The sequence below is a fragment of the Homo sapiens genome, chromosome 12 (genome assembly GCF_000001405.40).
Source record: "Homo sapiens chromosome 12, GRCh38.p14 Primary Assembly".
NCBI classification, from domain to species: Eukaryota; Metazoa; Chordata; class Mammalia; order Primates; family Hominidae; genus Homo; species Homo sapiens.
This window is the reverse complement of record NC_000012.12, coordinates 47,187,304-47,207,684: the sequence shown is the minus strand read 5'-3', so window position 1 is coordinate 47,207,684 and position 20,381 is coordinate 47,187,304. Positions and strand designations below refer to the sequence as shown.

The window sequence follows — 20,381 nt, the reverse complement described above, 5'->3', positions numbered from 1 at the left end:
CATACTTACATATTTGTGTAAGGAAGATTTCCTTATTGTCATTTCCTTCCATCGCTTGGTCCATAAAAGCAAAGAGGAAGGAAGGGAGGTCTGTGGTCATACACACTGTCACCCATGCTAAGAGAAAAGGTAGTTGAGAGCTCTGCCTGCCCACGTGCCCATCTGCTGGGTCATCCTTGTCCTATCAGGAGAGAAAGAGCACTTCCTTTCCTCAGTGGGACTGGGAGGAGGCAGCAGCCTCAGGCAGCTGGAAGGTGTGCCCCTGGGCCTCACACAGCTCTGGGGAGGTGGCACAGGGCTTCCTCTTTCATAGAGCTAATTAGGTTCTTATCTGTGCTACCAGATGAGCCCAGCTGCCAGCTCCTTACTTCATCTCAACCAATCCAACAGGCTATTCAAACCAACACTGATATTATTCTAGCAATATGTTTATGTATTTTGGACAAAAGTTTAAAGTAATTTAGTCCTCCATCTGTCACCTTCAGGCTAAAGTCCTTTATTTTCTTGGTGCATTGACCATGGGGCTCCATCTAGGCTCTGAAAGGATATTCCCTCAAGGCCCTGAGCTAGAGACCACAGGGTAACTCTACATGCTGTTCTCCTAATAAGATTTTGGTAACATCTGATTGTTTGCTAAAATCCCATTCAAAGCTCCTTCTACCTGGGCAGAGCCTGCCAAGTTGAGTTCAGCTTCAGTTGGATGAGTATGTCAAAGTCCCTGGCCATTCGAATAGCCATTTACCTAAGGCAAGAGCAAATGCTGGCTAAAGCATCTAATCACCATTTATTTATGTTGGTGATGTTGGGATTTGAGAGCACAGAGTGGAAGGTAGAAACAGGGTAGTGTCTGTAACTACCGTCAGATCTACTTCTTCACTTTCATTTTTAACATACAAGGTCCTTAAAAAAACCTTGGATTTTTTTTTTGTTGCGGGGGCGGGGTAGAGATGAGGTTTCGCTATATTGACCAGGCTGGTCTTGAACTCCTGGCCTCAAGTGATCCTTCTGCCTCAGTCCCCCAAAGAAAACCTAGCAGTTGAAAAATGATCAATTCATATAAAGAGAAACTGAAAAAAGACTTTTGCCTTGTCCCCAGCAGGCTGAGGAATTACCAAGGAGGCAGGAGGTGGAGCAAAACACACCAAGCCTGGTGCCAATCATTGACAATATTATGGTTAGTACTTACTGAGGGCTGACTATGGTTGAAACTGCCTTTGCAAAATTATGACTGAGACGGTGAAAGAGATCTAACTTAACCAACGCTAGCTATCTTGCCTCTAACCTCCAAGCTGTCCTTGTTCATTCCTGGGCATAGGCTGAACTAACTTTGGGAGAAATTTAGTTTATAGTTTGAAACAAAGATGATAACAGCCCTTTGCCAAAGCAGACCTCCTTCTTGTCTGGGGACTAGATGGCCTTTGTAGGACTAACATGAGCCACAAGATTAGAAATTATGGATAGGAGTCATGCAGCTGGAGTCTCCAAGATTCTGACCCTCCCTAAACTGCTCCCAAGATCAATGCTTGAGATATTTTGCAGACCCTGCATGTGATGGATCAGCTGACACCATCCAGATCGGTAAACTGGTTCATCTGATCTTGTGCCCTCCACCCAGGAACTGACTCAGCGCAAGAAGACAGCTTCGACTCCTTGTGATTTCATCCCTAACCAATCAGCACTCCTGGCTCACTGGCTTCCCCCAACCCACCAAATTGTCCTTAAAAACTCTGCTCTCCAAACGCTGGGGGAGACTGATTTGAGTAATAATAAAACCCTGGTCTCCTGCACAGTTGGCTCTGCGTGAATTACTCTTTCTCTATTCCAATTCCCTTATTTTGGTGAATTGGCTCTGTCTACGCAGTGGGCAAGGTGAACCCCTTAGGCGGTTACATGGTTATTGCCCCTTTTTTTTCCTTCCTTCCTTCCTTCCTCTCTCTCTCCCTCTTTTCCTCCCTCCTCTTCTCCCTCTTTCCCTCTCTTTCTTTCCTCCTATTCATAAAAACCTATTGAAACTGACTTTGCAAAAATTACAACTAAGAAAATTATGTCAGTGAAAGAAATCTGACCTAACTGACTCCACCTTGCTTCTAATTTCCAAGCTGTTACACCATTCCTGGGTATAGGCTGAACTAACTTTGGCAGGAACTTAGTTTATAGTATAACTTTGAAACAAAGACGGTAACAGCCCTTTGCCAAAACAAACCACCTTCCTACCTGAAGACTACACTGTCTTTGCAAGACTACCACCTTAGGTACCAGATTATAAATTATGGTTTAGGAGTCATGCAGCTGGAGGCTGCAGGATTCTGAACCTTTCCAAATTGCTCCTGGGGATAACGTCACTATAATAAAACCTAAGATCAGTGCTTGAGGTATTTTGTAGACCCTGTACTCCATGGATCAGCTGGTACCACCCAGATCGATAAACTGGCTCATCTGATCTTGTAGCCTCCATCCAGGAATTGATTCAGTGCAAGAGGACAACTTAGACTTTTTATGATTTCATCTCTGACCTGATCTATCAGCACGCCCCACTTTCCAACCCCCTACCCATCAAATTATCCTTAAAAACTCTGATCCCTGAACTCTGGAGAGGCTGATTTGAGTAATAATAAAACTCCAGTCTCCCATACTGTGGCTCTGCACGAGTTACACTTTCTCTGTTGCAATTCCCCTGTCTTAATAAACTGGCTCTCTCTAGGCAGTGGGCAAGGAGAACCTGTTAGGTGGTTACACTATTGGCTACATTAGTTTATGGTTACAGTATTTACATATAACCTCAATTACAAGGAAAATTAAATGATTACGGAGGCAACTGAACTAGAGTATCCAGATTCTTTTATACTAGGAGTCACTAAGTATATAGTATTTATTGCTAAATTAGAAATAAATGTTATGGCCCATCTGTAGACAATAAGGCAAATTCAGAGGAGCAATTAAGAGCCACCCAGAACCTTGACTTTTAGATGCATGACCTGCCTCCCCTGGTCTGTAGGCAGTGGAGGATTAAGGAAACAAAGTGCAAGGTAGCCCTGGGAGTAAATTAACAGCATAATACACACTTCAAGAACACCCAGAGATCTGTGAGTGAGACCAGGAGTTGCAAAGTTAAATGGCTGTAGGGACCAGACATGAGATACAAATGAATAAATGAGCAGGGTTTGTTCTTTGTATATAGATTCACTTTGCATATTAAACATGGAAGAGTATCAGGAAGTGAAGGACCTCTTCAAGGAGAACTACAAACCACTGCTCAAAGAAATCAGAGAGGACATAAACAAATGGAAAAGCATTCCATGCTCATGGATAGGAAGAATCAATATCATGAAAATGACCATACTGCCCAAAGCAATTTATAGATTCAATGCTATTCCCATTAAACTACCATTGACATTCTTCACATAATTAGAAAAAAAAAATTTTAAATTCATATGGGGGTTGGGCGTGGTGGCTCACACTTGTAATCCCAGCACTTTGGGATGCCGAAGCGGGCAGATCATTTAAGATCAGGAGTTCGAGACCAGCTTGACCAACATAGCGAATGAAACCCTGTCTCTACTAAAAATACAAAAATTAGCCAGGCATGATGGCACATGCCTGTAGTCCCAGCTACTTGGGAGGCTGAGGTAGAGGATCGTTTGAGCCTGGGAGGCGGAGGCTACTTTTAAAAAGTCAAAAAACAACAGATGCTGGCGAGGTTGTGGGGAAAAAGAATGCTTTTACACAAAAGAATGCTTTTACACTGTTGGTGGGCATATAAATTAGTTCAACCATTTGAACTTGTGGCAATTGACAGTGTGGCAATTCCTCAAAGACCTAGAGGCAGAAATACCATTAGACCCAGCAATCCCATTACCGGGTATATACCCAAAGGAATATAAATCATTTTGTTATAAAGACACATGCATATGTATGTCCATTGGAGCACTAGTAGCAACAGCAATAAATGAAATCAACCTAAATGCCCATCAGTAATAGACTGGATAATGAAAATGTGGTTCATATACACTGCAGAATACTATGCAGCCATAAAAGGAATGAGATCATGTCTTTTGCAGGGACAGAGATGGAGTTGGAAGCCATTATTCTTAGCAAACTAATGCAGGAACAGAAAACCAAATATTGCATGTTCTCACTTATAAGTGGGAGCTAAATGTTAAGAACACATGGACACCAAGGGTAGGGAACAACACACACTAGGGCCTGTCGGAGGGTGAGAGTTGGGAGGAGGGAGAGAATCAGGAAGAATTGCTAGTGGATGCTGGGCTTAATACCTGGGTGATGGGATGATCTGTGCAGCCAATGACAATGGCACATGTTTACCTATGTAACGAAACTGCACAACCTGCACATGTACCCCTAAACTTAAAAGTTGGAAATAAAAAATTTTAAAAAATTAAAAAAAGAAAAGAGAAGGCTGGGCACGGTGGCTCATGCCTGTAATCCCAGCACTTTGGGAGGCCGAGGCAGGTGGATCATCTGAGGTCAGGAGTTTGAGACCAGCCTGGCCAACATGGTGAAACTCCATCTCTACTAAAAATACAAAAATTAGCCGGGCATGGTGGCGGCTGCCTGTAGTCCCAGTTACTTGGGGGGCTGAGGCAGGAGAATCTTTTGAATCTAAGAGACAGAGGTTGCAGTGAGCTGAGATCATGCCACTTCACTCCAGCCTGGGCAACAGAGCCAGACTGTCTCAGGAAAAAAAAAAAAAAGAAAGAAAAGAGAAGTAATTCTTTACCATAAAGAATATACAGAGGTGAAAGTATAGTGGTAAATGAAAATTAATAGCCTCAGTATTGGGAACAATTGGGATTAGTGAGGATTCTGGCAAACTGGAGACCACATGTGTCATTTAAGAGCACAGTGGCCACTCTGCTCTAGTAGATTACTTCATGAGGGAATATGGCTTTAACTTGCTAAAATTCCAATTTTTCAAAAATAAAAAAACTGTAAATATATATTTTTATGAGCTGTATCCTGATTTTTAAACATTTCCTCAAATAAAAAGTTACTGCATAGGTAAAACCAAACAGTTTTGCAGCGTTGCAATTTTTTTTCTTTTTTCTTTTTTTTTTTTTTTTTTTTTTTTTACTAATGTCTAGACGTGAAGGAGTCAAATTCAGGCAAATATCTGGGAATCAGGGACCACATAGAATCAGATCAAACTGGGGCTGTGGGTAGAAGACATGTGAGCAGTGAGGACTGCAGAAGCTATGAAAGAACTAGAGATACAAAGTTCTGAAACTATCTTCGCCTTAGGAACAGACTTTCTCTTCTAGCTGTAGCAAAAGCCAGTAATGGTTTCCCAGGCAACATCCAGTCTGGCATAACCTGGAAGCTCATGTGCTTCTGCAATGCGGTATCATCTTTTGATGGGCAAATTTTGACATAATTTTCCAGACTTTTAACCAATCCAGGAATGGAAGCTTAGAATGTTCTATTGAATATCAACTCCCTGTCATTGCAAATATTAACCCTTCTATTATGTGCAAATAACTCTTAATGAATTCTCATTATCTTAGTAGCACATTAGAATCAGGTTCTCGAAGCCTGAATGCTTCATAAGTATCCTCTAGGTGATATTTATATTTTATTTGTGGTGCTTACAATGAATATAGATAACTGTATATTTGTAACATCAATATACTAACTAATATAGTACTTGATCTAAATGGCTTTAAATATTTCTTCATAATTGGGCAGAGCTTAGTGGCCTGTTTTCAGATAGATGCTCAGGTTTACACATACCACTCCTCAAAGACAAACTTAAAAATATTTGCTTCCAGGCCTGGTGCATTGGCTCATGCCTGTAATTCCAGCACTTCGAGAGGCCGAGGTGGGCAGAACACTTGAGCTCAGGAGTTCAAGACCAGCCTGGGCAACATGGTGAGACCCCCATCTCTACAAAAATACAAAAAATTAGCTCTGTGTGGTTGTGCACACCTGTAGTCTCAGCTATTCAGGAGGCTGAGGTGGGAGGATCACCTAAGCCCGGGAGGTTGAGGCTGCAGCGAGCCAAGATCGCACCATTGCATTCCAGCCTGAATGATACAGTGAGACCTTGTCTTAAAAAAAAAAAGAAAAAAAAATTTCTTCCTTTGTTAAGGAATAACAATAAAATACTGCTGGGCAGTATTGTAACGCCCAACCTTGTTTTTACTAACCCTGTTTTTAGAATCTCCCTTTTCCTTTAATCACCTAGCCTTGCTTCCACCTGAATTGACTCTCCCTTAGCTAAGAGAGCCAGACAGACTCCATCTTGGCTCTTTCACTGGCAGCCCCTTCCTCAAGGACTTAACTTGTGCAAGCTGACTCCCAGCACATCCAAGAATGCAATTAACTGATATGAAACTGTGGCAAGCTATATTCGCAATTCCAAGGAATTCGTCTGATTGATAACGCCCAAAGCCCCGAGTCTATCACCTTGTAATAGACTGAAAGCCCCTGCACCTGGAACCGTTTACTTTCCTGTAACCATTTATCCTTTTAACTTTTTGCCTACTTTATTTCTGTAAAATTCTTTTAACTAGACTCCCCCCCTCCCCTTTTCTAAACGAAAGTATAAAAGAAAATCTAGCCCCTTCTTCGGGGCCGAGAGAATTTGGAGCGTTAGCCGTCTCTTGGCCGCCGGCTAAATAAAGGGACTCTTAACTCGTCTCAAAGTGTGGCGTTTTCTCTAACTCACTCAGGTACAACAGTATCAATAACCACACTATCTGAAACTTTTTAAAAGCCTTTCAAATAACTTCAAACAAATGTCTATATTGTTTTTTAGAACACTGGGGAAACAGAATTTAAATGAACAACTGTGTCTTTTAATCCACATCGCATATGTCTGTTATTGTTTAAGTCTCATTATTATTTTTTCCACTTACTCTGCAGTGATCTGAACTGACATGGCCTAGCGTTACTGGTCCAGCAGAGCAGTGGAATTCTGTAGGCACACTGCACTAATATCAGCAAGGCATTTGGTGAGGGCATTTGCTGCCAAGTTTTGGAAATTATGATAGAGCTGCTACAAACATTCAAATGCAGGATTTGGGGTGGTCATAAGTCTTTAGCTCATTTGGATAAATGCCAACTCACTTGGGTAAATGGGAGTACGATTGCTGGATTCTATGTTAAGACTATGTTTAACTTTGTAAAAGCTGCCAATCTGCCTTGTGAAGTGGCTGTGGCATTTTGCATTCCTACCAGCAACAAATGAAAATTCTTGTTGCTCCACATCCTCACCAGCATTTGGTGTTGTCAGTGTTCTGATTTTCTAACCACTCTAATAGGGGTGTAATAGTATCTCATTGTTTTAGTTCGTAATTCCCTAATGATATATGGTATTGAGCATTTTTCCATGTGCTTATTTGCCATCTGTATGTCTTCTTTTGGTGCGGTGTCTATTCAGGTCTTTTGCCCGTGTTTTTACTTGGGTTGTTTGCTTTCATACTGTTGAATATTAACACTTTACATATTTTGGATAGAATTTTTTTTTTTTTGAGGCAAGATCTGTCTTTATAGCCCAGGCTGGAGTGCAGTGGTGTGAACTTGGTTCACTACAACCTCCCAGGGTTCAAGCCATCCTCCCACCTCAGCCTCCTGAGTAGCTGGGACTATAGGCTTGTGCCACCATACCTGGCTAATTTTCATATTTTTTTGTATTGTAGTGATGTGGTTTCACCATGTTGCCCAGGCTGACATTTTGGATAATACTTCTTAATCAGATATATTTGCAAATATTTTCTCCCTGTCTGTGGCTTGCCCTTTTATTTTCTTAACAGTATCTTTTGCCAAGCCGAAGTTCTTAGTTTTATTGAAGTCTCACTTATCAATTTTTCTTTCATGGATTGTGCTTTTGGTGTTGAAGCTACAAATTCACAACTAAACACAAGGTCACCTAGAGTTTCTTCTGTTATCTTCTAGAAGTTTTGCAGTTTTATATTTTACATTTAAGTCTATGATCCACTTTGAGTTAATTTTTGTGAAAGGTGCAAAGTCTGTGTTAGATTAACTTTTTTCTTATTTTGCATGTGGATGTCCTGTTGTTCTAGAACCATTTGTTGAAAAGATTAGTCTTTCTCTATTGAATTGCCTTTGCTCCTTTGTCAAAGATCAATTGACTGTATTTATATAGGTTTATTTTTCTATTTGTCTTTTCCTTCACAAATGCCACACTGTCTTGATCATTATAGCTTTATAGTAACACTCGATGCCAGATAGTGTCAGTCTTTCACTTCTGTTTTTTACAATATTATGTTGGCTATTCTGGGTCTTTTGCATTTTCTTATAAACTTTAAAATAAAATTATTAATATTCATAAAATAACTTGCTGATATTTGAATGTGGATTGTGTTGAATCTATAGATCAAGTTATCAGGAATAACTGGTAGCATGAGGAATTTGAGTCTTCCTATCCATGAGCATGAAATACCTCTTCATTTATTTAGTCATTTGATTTCTTTCATCACAGTTTTGTAGTTTTCCTTATATAGGTCCTTAGATTTATACCTAAGTAATTTTTTGGTGCAAATGTGAATGGTCTATTTTTTATTTCAAATTCCAGTTGTTCATTTCTGATATATAGGAAAGCAATTACATTTGTATACTAACTTTGTGTTATGTGACCTTGCTATAATTACTTACTATAATAGTTCCAGGATGGTTTTTTGCTGTTGTTGATTCTTTGGGATTTTCCTTCTTTTCTTTTTTCTTTTTCTTTTTTTTTTTGAGATGGAGTTTAGCTCTTGTTGCCCAGGCTGGAGTGCAATGGCACAATCTCAGCTCACTGCAACCTCTGCCTCCTGGGTTCAAGAGATTATCCTGTCTCAGTCTCCCAAGTAGCTGGGATTACAGGCATGTGCAACCATGTCTGGCTAATTTTTTGTATTTTTAGTAGAGACAGGGTTTCACCATGTTAGCCGGGCTGGTCTCAAACTCCTGACCTCAGGTGATCCGCCTGCCTTGGCCACCCAAAGTGCTGGGATTACAGGTGTGAGCCACCACACCTGCCTTCTTTGGGATTTTCTGCATAATCACGTCATCTGTGAACAAAGTTTTATTTCTTTCTTCCTTCTCAATCCGTTTACCTTGCTTTTTTTTTTGTTTGTTTGTTTTTTGTTTTTTTGGTCTTACTGCATTAGTTAGGGCTTCCAGTACAATGCTGAATAGGAGTAGTGAGAGGGAGGGGACACCCTTGCCTTGTTCTTGATCGTAGGGAGAAAGAATCTAGTTTCCTAAGATTAAGCATGATGTTAGGTGTAGTTATTTTGCAGTTATCCTTTATGAAGTTGAGATCCAGTTCCCCTCTACTCCTAGTTTGTTGAGAGATTTTTCTCTAAACTATGAATGAGTGCTGGATTTTGTCAAGTGCTTTTCTGCGCCTGTTAATATGAGCATATACATTTTTCTTCTTTAGCCTATTGATACGATAAATTACATTAATGATTTTCAAATCAATTGAACCACCCTGTATACCTCGAAAAAAAAGCATTTTGTTGTGGTGCATAATTCTTCTTATACATTGTTAGATTTCATTTGTTAATATTTTGTTGAGAATTTCTGGATTTATGATTGTGAAAGATATGAGTCTGTAGTTTTCCTTTCTTTTAACGTCTTTGTCTGGTTTTGATATAGGATTAATGCTGGCCTCATAGAATGAGTGAAGAAATGTTTCCTTCACTTCTATTTTCTGGAAGAAACAGTAGAGAATTGGTATCACTTCTTCCTTAAATGTTCAGTAGAATTAGCCAGTGAACCCATCTGGGCCTGGTGCTTTCTGTTTTAGATGGTTATTAATTATCAGTTAAATTTCTTTAATATATATTGGCTAATTCAGATTATCTATTTCTCTTTGTGTGGGTTTCAGTAGACTGTGTCCTTCTAGGAAATGGTCTATTTTCATATAAATGATCATATTTGTGGGCATAGAGTTGTGACTAATATTCCTTTAATATTCTTTTAATGTCCATGGAGTCAGTAACAATGGCCCCTTTTTCATTTCTGATTATTAGTAATTTATGTCTTCTCCCTTTTTTTGTATATCATTGTATTTTATTTTATTTTATTATTTATTTATTTATTTTTTTGAGACAGAGTTTCACTCTTGTTGCCCAGGCTGGAGTGCAATGGCGCGATCTGGACTCACTACAACCTCCGCCTTTTGGGTTTAAGCGATTCTCCTGCCTCAGCCTCCCGAGTAGCTGGGATTACAGGCACCCAGCACAATGCCCAGCTAATTTTTTGTATTTTTAGTAGAGATGGGGTTTCACCATGTTGGCCAGGCTGGTCTCAAACTCCTGACCTCAGGTGATCCACCTTCCTCGGCCTCCCAAAGTGCTGGGATTACAGGCGTGAGCCACTGCACCGGGCTATCATTGTATTTTAATATGCAATGACTTTTTTTTACAAGCGAGGGCAGATATGTTTTTATATCTTTTTTTTTTTTTTTTTTTTTTTGAGACAGAGTCTCACTCTGTCACCCAGGCTGGAGTGCAGTGGTGCAACCTCAGCTCACTGCAACCTCCGCCTCCCAAGTTCAAGTGATTCTCCTGCCTCAACCTCCTGAGTAGCTGGGATTACAGGTGCCCGCCACCATGTCTGGCTAATTTTTATATTTTTAGTAGAGATGGGGTTTCACCATGTTGGTCAGGCTGGTCTATCATCTGTTTTTTTTTTTAAATAAACTGCCAATTTGTGTACTTTGCCTACTTTTCTATTTTATCTAAGGATTATTACATATTAAGTGTATTAACACTTTGGCCTGCCATCCATGCTGCAAATGTTTTCATTTCAGCTTATTATTTTTCTGTTAATTTTATGTTCATATTTTTTCATATATAAAGTTTATTTTTTATATATTTTTTAATTTTTAAGATGGAGTCTTGCTCTTTTGCCCAGGCTGGAGTGCAGTGGCACGATCTTGGCTCACTGCAACCTCCGTCTCCTGGGTTCAAGCAATTCTACCTCAAACTCCTGAGTAGCTGGGATTACAGGCGCCCGCCACCACGCCCAGATAATTTTTGCAATTTTAGTAGAGACGGGGTTTTACCGTGTTGGCCAGGCTGGTCTCGAACTCCTGGCCTCAGGTGATCTGCCTGCCTCGGCCTCCCAAAGTGCTGGGATTACAGGCGTGAGCCACGGTGCCCAGCCCATATATAAACTTTAGATGAAGTTTTTCAGTGTTTTTAAATTGTTTCTTCCTTTGCTACTGTGCTAAATAATACCTAAAACTTACTGAGCATTTACTGTATGTCAGGCAACATATAGTGATTTATATGTATTACTTAAGTTAAGCTTGAACAATCCTTGAGTTAGGTACTATTATCTCCATTTTATGGATCAGAAAACTGAGGCACAAATAGGTTGAGTATCTTGTTTCTGGTAGGCACATCTAGTAAGTGGCAGAGCCAGGATTTGAAGCTAGTTGCTCTAATGCCAGACACTTAGCTACTAAGTTCTACTGCCTCCTAGCAAAGCACTATTAAGTTGAAGTTGATATTATTTACCTACTTTTTTATGGTTACATATTTTTAAAAAGTTACACACATAAACACTCTACTTTAAAAATGTCAATATATTCAAATTTTGTAACATAGTGTTATATGTAATAGTCTTTGCAAAGTTAAAAGAATTCATTTATTTTGGAACTGAAATTAATGCATCACCTAGTTTGACTAATCTTTGGAAAATTGGGCTAATAGAATATTGGAAGGTGTGGGAAGAATTGTAATAGAGACCAGAAAACTAAGCAGTTTTTAAAAAATGTAATTATTAAGTTCAAGAAAAAAGCAAATGGTTAATAAAACATAACCATAGCCCGTATATTATAACATTAAGTTCTGACTGCTATCTGCATGGGCATAATAAAATGAATAATGAATATTTAACTATACATAAAATGTGAATAGAGGGTGAGGAAATGAAGAATGAAAAAAGTGGGAACAGACAACTCTGGTAGACTCAGGTATGATTTTCTTAGATCTTCCTGACTCACTTCAATATCTGATATTAAACTCTACTGGGGCTGCTGTGAGCAACCTTCTTGTTTCTGGCCCTTACTGTAGCATGTTACTTACAGGGGCTATACCTTCCTTAATACAACACCCATCCCTCCTCTACTCTACTATGGTGGGGTTTTTTTTTGGGTAGTTGCTGCCTCTAAGTGAATTTAGAAAGATAATCAGAGGAAGGAGGGTGGGTAGAGGGAAAATGAATAAATTTGTAGTCACCAGCTATCAGATAGGTTTGGATTGTACACATAATTAATATGGAGAAAAATTGTTTCATTTTCTCATGATCCTCATTTTCTCCCTCGAGACATTAGCTGTCACCTTCAGAAATATTTCTTTTTTTCTTTTTTTTTTTTTGAGACAGAGACTCGCTCCATCGCCCAGGCTGGAGTGCAGTGGCATGATCTCGGCTCACTGCAACCTCCGCCTTTTGGGTTTAAGTGATTCTCCTGTCTCAGCTTCCCGAGTAGCTGGGACTACAGGTGTGTACCACCATGCTCGGCTGATTTTTGTATTTTTAGAAGAGACGGAATTTCGCCTTGTTGGTCAGGCTGGTCTCGAACTCCTGACCTCATGATCCACCCGCCTCCGCCTCCCAAATGCTGGGATTATAGGCGTGAGCCACCGCGCCCGGCCTACTTTTAGAAATATTTCTAAAGATGAATTCCAAAAGACTAAAACAGGCTTTTCTTCCCCCCTCTCATACAAGAACACATTTCTTCATTTAACAAGTTAAATATATAATACTAATAAATAATTCACAATACTCAAAATGAAGATAATAACTTTAAAGAAGAGGAATTATGAAACAGGATAAGTGGCCAGTGCTGTTTCTGAACACAACAATGCCATTTACTCTCGAATTTAGCCACACGGCACCTTTCTCTTCCTCATTAAAACCCTGGCCACATATTGCTGCTTCTGCCATCTAAGGTCTGTTCTTTAAATAGCACATGGAACTCCGACCGGTATGACCTTTCTTGTTGGCAGGTCATCTGAGGATATTAACTGGAGTACTTTGTCCCACAGTTCCCAGAAGAGCAGGAGACCTCAATATTCTAAGAAGCTTCACTGTTGAAAGTCTAAGTAGTTTGCCAAAAATGATTGATTTTCTTTACACTAAGGAAATTTCTCTTGTGTTTGCAATAAGTAGCTATCAAAGGGACATTTGTGGTTCTAAATTAGTTCCAGTACCTGTAAAGAGACCCATCCCAGCAAGGTGCGGTGGCTCACGCCTGTAATCCCAGCACTTTGGAAGGCCTAGGCAGGTGGATCACGAGGTCAGGAGTTCGAGACCAGCCTGACCAACATGGTGAAAGCCCATCTCTATTAAAAATACAAAAATTAGCTGGGCGTGGTGCTGCGCGCCTGTAATCCCAGCTATTCAGGAGGCTGAGGCAGGAGAATCACTTGAACCCAGCAGGTGGAGGTTGCAGTGAGCTGAGATCGTGCCACTGCACTCCAGCCTGGGCGACAGAGTGAGACTCCATCTCAAAATAAAAAAAGACCTATTCCTGAGAGGAGGCAGGCAGTGGGGAGACAGATGTGTTTCAGGAGCATGGAGGGAAGTTATCTGAAAAATGCTGGCTGCAAAGGGCAAGCGGCCACTCCTGCAAGGAGGTCTCAACACAGTATGACCAAGGGCCCTGCAGGTGGCAGAGCACAGCAAAAGCACAGCAAGAGCATGTGGTATTTATTCAAAGCCAAGGGAGGTAGGCAGGAAACCAGAATGCAGCTTAGTGAGGGCAAGAGCAAGGCAGGGCCCCAGCCCCAGCAAGACTGAGCAATGAAATGGCTTTAAAATAACAACAATCTGCAGTTATCAAAACTGGGGCCAAAATGGCAGACACCCTGAAATAAACTGGTGAAATGCAATCTTAAAACAGATGAACAGCAAATGAGCTAGAATCTTGGAGACTATTTGGTTGCCTCATATGATTTATAGGACTGGAGCAATGTTGCTGATCCTTATACTGAAATTTATGTCACGGGGAGAAAATATAATTCTAACTTACTAGAGAACCATGATTGAAGCTACTCAGGGCTGAGTGGGCAGAAGTATATCTTTGTCTCTGAGGGAAATTGTAAGACTTGCTTGTAGTTTATAAAAGTCATCCATAATTTTTAATCTTTTGTTTTGGGGGTCAGCCAAAATCCTACACCCTAACTATTGTAATCCAGGCGAGTGAAGGCAGTAATCTGAATTACCATGGTGATTGAGGGTTGGGGAGAAGGTGATGGGCTGAAACAATGACTGGAGTGGAAAGGGGGAAGGGGGCAGGAATTCAGGAATTGTGAGCAGGGAATTATTATAAAGAATGGTTCCCTGGTTTCTGCATTGGCTTGAACAACTCTGAGTGGACAGTGATGCTCATAGGAAGTGGGGACGGTCAGATGCCGGAATGCAAAATCCGGTCTCACTTTGTACTTCCTGTGTGAACCTGAGTCAGTTACTCAACCTCTCTGAGGATACAACAAATTTGAGAGTTCATATTTTGGTACATATGAGAGTCTATTAATTGTTAAGCCCTACAGTAAGTGATGAGAGTAATAAGACAAATAGAATACAGCTCTTGAATTCATTTTTTGCAGTCAGCTAGGAGAGACATGCAAAAACAATTAGCAAAATACAATGGGAGAAGCGCTAAAATATCTGTGTGCATAAAGCATTCAGTAAGCCCAGAATAATGTACTCTGCTTGCAAATATGGGGATAAGGAAGGTCTCATGTAGACGTGAGGAAAGAAGAATGGACATTGGAGCTAGGCTTGAATGAATAGTTTCACCAAAATACATTTTCTTTGTGATCTTAGACAAATTAATCTCTCCGAGCCTTAGTTTCCTCAGTTGGGGTTAATGATAGTACTTGTCTCAAGGAATGATGGTTAAATGAAATAATGCATGAAAAATCCTCAGCACAGTGCCTGTTACACAGCAAGAACTCCATGAATGTTTGCTATTTTTATTACCATTATTGCTATGGAGAGCCCTGGGAGTCAGTCAGCTCTGATGGACTCAATGATGTATCAAAGTCACAGCTAGTTAGTACCAGAGACTGGACCAGGATCCAGGCTGCCACTTTTATTCTCTAAAATGAAAGGAGAGCTCTGCCCTCGTCCAATTCCACTTTTTCCACTGAAGATTAAATTGGATTCTTTTATGTAAAGTGGACTCTCCAAGTGACTTTTCCCAAAGGAAAGTTTTGAATGAAATCATTTACCATTTGAATGAGCTCATATCCAAAAGGAGCACCCATTTGGATAGAGCCGATCAGTCTGCAGTATATACAATTTCACTTTGCTTACTGGTCATCTCCATTTTTTTTCCAGGCTACATATTTTTCTTATTTCAGCCTTCTAAACTCCCTGTTCTCTGCAGCCTATTTAATTGACTTTCATATCAAAGGAAAGTGAAAGCAAAAATAGGTTTTACTTATAATCAACATGCATTTACTGTTTGTCGTGATTTAGAAGCTCTTTGCTGGCACTATGGAAAGAGGCAAAAAAAAAAAAACAAAAAAAAAAAGCGTAGCCTCCATTTTTGAAATAGTTAAAGCAAGCCAGATCCACATAAAATAAGAAAACAGTAATTCTAGAACAATGTATAGATATTCTACAGTGATACGGGGTGGATTGAATACATTTATACAAAGGAGGCAAATTAAATTGGTGTTCTATTGAGTTGGAGTTAATGAGGATGTACAGAGAGAAAACAGTCAATCATTTCTGTGGCAAGCGCCATGTTAGGTGCTCCTATAGAGTATCTAAAGAAAATGATGTCTGAGTTAGCTCAAGAAAATGGTAATGGACTCAGATTGGCAAAGAGAAAGGCAGGCAAGTGGTTCTCATCAGAATCACCAGGTCCTTAAAAAAAAAAGCACAACACAACAAAACAAAAAAACCAAAAAAACCCCAAAACTTTTGTGTCCAGGCCGCACCCTCAGCGATTCTGCCTCAATTCCTCAGGGTGAGCAGCCCAGGTGTCCAGCTTTATGAAGGTTCCCAGGGCAATCTATTTTGCAACCTGGGCTGAAAACCTCTGCTTTAGGGCAAAGGCTGGATGATGACTATGCCCAAGTCCTGGGTGGAGAGAGGCAGGCCTGCGGTATTTCTTCTTCCGGATTGCAATGGAAACATGACTTCCCCCAATTTGCCTAGGATGAGAGTAAAGTGAATGCATTGGGTTGTGAACATGTGAACGTTTGCCTGGGGAGGGTCAAGGTGAGGATTTGGGAGAAATAATCTTTTGAGATCTTATAGAACTGCTGAATGCTGACACTGGGGTATAGAATTAGGAAGAAACTTAGAGATTTTAAACAAAAATAGTGGTCTCTGAGGAATTAAATGTATGGAGTCGTAAAGCTGGCAGAAGATAAAGGAGTGAAAAAAGTCTGGAAACAGACAGCTCAGGGCTTTAGGGTCAGTGGTGTCCCTTTGTAAAAACTGCTTCAATTCAACCTCATTTGTAAATGGGCATACTCATAGTAGCCCTGTGTGTCTGTTGGGAAGGTGATGTCACCAAGCCTATATTATAAAAATCGTAAGATGTTCATTTTACTTCTTCCTCTTTCTTTGTCCTTGTCTTCCTCCATGCATGTTTGCTTGCACATAGTCATTTCGTTAGAGGGTAGTCATTAATAAGTGATTAACTTCATATCCTGACCCCCAGGGGCTGTCTGCAAGATTAATGAACTGGTTTTTCTTTTAAAGAACAATGATCCTTAGGTCATGGAGACCTCCTTGATGGCATCCAGAAGTTCGATTGGCTGAGGGACACAAGCAGCTTTCATCATCAGAGAATCTCACCTCCCACATATCTACCTTACTCGTAAAAGCCCCCCAGTTATGTTCAAAGACAGGTGGGGTTTGAGAGGTGCCTCTCGCACCCTCATGCTGTAGCCAATTTGAATAACCTTTCTGTGCTCCTAAGCACTGATGTGTCAGTGTTTGGCTTACTGGCATCAGGTACTCAACCTAAATCTGCAACAGTATGAGATAACATGCAGAGAGCACAGAGTGCCATGCCTGCCACGCAGAAACCAGTAAGCATGAGTTAGTGTTACTATTGTTGTTTGAAAGGATCAAGATTCTGTGTAAATGAGTCACAGGTATCCCAGATGCAGGATTTGCATAGCTGCTATAAAGAGGGTTTCCCACTGAAACTGGTGTAGGCATAAAGAACCCTGTGTTTCTCGTACAAAGGGAATTGAGAGAAACCACTTCATCCTTAACCTGCAGGGAGCTGGAGGAAGAAAGACCTGGAAGAGGCGACCAAAGTGAATGCATGGGTGCCAAAGGTTGGAGACCAGGACAAGGAGGAAGTGGGTTAGAACAGATGGAACTTGGGTGAGGTCTGTATCTATTTTGGAAACTGAAGCCCAGAACTGGGGCCACAATGGGGCAGGCTTTCACTTGCTCCCATTTATGAACCAACCAGCACCATGGGAAGAACGGGGTGGGATAGACTGAGAGACAACTGAATTGTATGCATTTTTGCTTTTTGGCTGATTATTCCAACTCAGGATTACACGAACTAATGCATGTGAAAGCATTTCCTAAATAACAAAACACTATGCAAATAGAGTATTAACATTTTTCTTCTGTGTAGAATTTATACCTAGAGATTCCCTCAAGTGATACTGAAGTAGTTTCTGCACTTCAAGCAGGTGTCTGAGCACAGTGCATAGAGGAGGGTCTGTGGGACTGGGAGTGGCCAAGGGAGGAGCCGAGCAGGGCTGGAAGAGCTGACCCAAGAGGCAGCTCTTCTGTGGATCCCAAGCCTGGAGCAGCAGAAGTTATGCTGAGGTTTTGCCAAACATCCCCAGAGTCTTCTGTTTGGAAGTTTCAAGGATATGCATTTTGTTAGTAGGGTTAGATGAGGTGAAAATGCGAAGCTGGTGATAAACGAAAGTTGTGCTTCAAGAGTTTGGCTCCTAGTCCATGTTTATTAATTGTTTGCTGAAATGAAGACAAGTGTGAGATGGTAATATAACACTAAAGTGTGCTAATAAGTCCATGGTGCTATGCTGAAAGTGCAAATAAGACCTTGCAAGTAAGTCCATGGTGTTTTGGATTTGATGTTAGCGGTAGCAGAAAGCCACTAATATAAGCCTTGAATGGTGTTCAGGGATCTTGTAAACTACTGAAAAGTGAGGAAATAAATGTATGTCCAAGGTCATTCATTTATTTAGCGGCCTTTAAAGAGGAACATTTTCACTGTGAGATAATAGTTGCTGTAGTGACTTATTTAAGCAAGATTACAGGCTCTTCTCTAAACAGGGCTGCACCTCTCCATTCACGGCACAAGAATGCACAATAGACTGGATTTTGAAATCAGTCTGCCTTCTGCTAACCAAGCCATGCACCCTAGTGTAGGGCTGCATCTCCTCAGAGAAAAGGACACATTTTTCCACTTTGCACAAAGGCATCCAATGGGGTAATGGCGGCCCTGTCTTGAACAATCTAAAAACACAATGCATGCTTTTCTGCTTAGACAACTTCTCAGGGTCACTTTCAGACACTGGGCTAAGAACCAATGAAACAAGCAATAAAGCTGAAGAAAAAGAAGATAAAAAACAATCAAAATGTAAGATAGAGGAAATGAAAAAGAACAGCAAAGTGAGCTGAATCATGAACAGCAGGAAATCTCGAGATAAGTGGAGGCTGTCCCTACATATTTCTGGTACTTTGAGTAAACATGGAGAGAAAGTTCACAGTGACCTAATCAGAAGCAGAAATGAAAATGGGGCAAAATGCCATGTGGGGGCATTTTGCAATAAGAAGCAACAGGAGTCTGGCACCTAAATCCAGCAACTGTGTAGCCAGGGTTGGAAAAAGTCCAGGTTACCAGCAACATGCCTGTTTTTTACGGAGAATGAGTGAAATGAATATGCTCCCAATGGTCCTCTGAGTTCTTCACATTCATCCCAACTCCCTTGCTCCTCTGCTCCAGCACTGCAGTGGAACTGGATGGCTACAGCTTACATTGCACGTTTCAATTTGGGCGATGGATGAGAACTTCTGTACTATGTTTGCATCTGCAAGACTCTGCTACTCTTGTTTTTAACTTCTGGATGTTCAGGTACACATTGAAAAAAGGAAGTCCTTAACTCTGAGAAGCAGTATCGTCCTGAAACTACCTAAGAAATGGCTCAAATCCTTTCAATTTCCAAGGAAAGCAAAAGTTACACATTAGAAACTGAGATGACAATACCTAAGCATATAATTTCATTGAGATAGATTAGATTAGCTTCAGGGACATATATGGCTCACAGTATATTCCATGCTTCTCCATAGGCCAGGAAGATTTGCAGCTAACACCCTTCCTGAATTCTTGTCCCTATAGGGCTTTTGTGTGGGACATCATTGATCCCTATGAGTTCCAGCTGAGGAATTTATGACATATTCTATTCCCCCCTGAGATTAGCCTTTAATAATTTATTTATTCATCCAACATTTAAGAGACCCCAATGGTGTTAGATGCTGGGAACCCAAAGACAACTAAGGCAAGATCACTGTCCCCAAAGTCCTTAGTAAGGGGAGATAAGACATGTAATTTTTAAAAGCCACAAAATGCTATGGTGCCATGACAGAGGTATGTCTGGGGAACAGAAGGGACTCCAAGAAGGAAGAGGTGCTTCCAGGTAAGACAAACTGTGGAAATAAAGCAGCTATAGGGCAAAGAACTTGTTGCAGTCAGGAAGATGCAGGTAGATCAGGTGACCAATTACAATCCTGTTCTTGGAGCTGGTAGGATAAAGGACAGACCCAGGTGGAAGAGGCGCAGGTGAAAGTTTTGCTCCTTCTGGGGTCTTCCTCTACATTTTGACCCAGGCCCGTCTAGGTGGAAATGTAGAGGAAGACCCCAGGAGAAGCATAACTTTCCTTTAACCCATATATCACAAGACTTGGCTGCCTTATGATGAAGCTATAGTTCCCAAATATGTCTTCAATGAAGAAAATTTAATGTTTAGGAATTCTAGAACTTGCAGAGTTGGGAGTTGCCTGGGAGATGAAATGTTCTCTCCATCACCTCCAGCCCTTGGTGCTGAGTTCATTAGCATGTTTAGTTCTAATTTTAGCTATGAAAAAATATATTTTAAAATATTGACACATTTATTATTTAGTGCTGGATTTAACTGTTTACACTTTCACTGATAAAAGATTAAAAATATGTCTTACTATATACTGCTGCCTATAGTTAAAACAGCATCCCTGTTTCTCTTTTTCTCTCTTGTTCTCTATTTTTGAAACTGAGTTAATAATCCCCTTGATGTAGAGATGGGGGATTTTCATCAGTACCAGATCATTTCACCTGCCTTTTCTCCTCCCTGAGATTTCCAATTTCCTGGTGCTTCCTTTTCACTACATTTACCACCCATTTC

General features: G+C 40.6%; 1 protein-coding gene and 1 non-coding gene across 17 annotated transcripts in view; both read right to left on the bottom strand.

Annotated features, from left to right (window-relative positions):
• Positions 1-20,381, bottom strand: part of PCED1B (PC-esterase domain containing 1B) — a 157,040-nt gene that overhangs the window by 28,976 nt on the left and 107,683 nt on the right. The gene's annotated exons all lie outside the window — the stretch shown is intronic.
• On the bottom strand, positions 19,794-19,873 carry MIR4698 (microRNA 4698). The gene has a single exon (NR_039847.1). It is a non-coding gene; the product is annotated as a microRNA 4698 (primary transcript).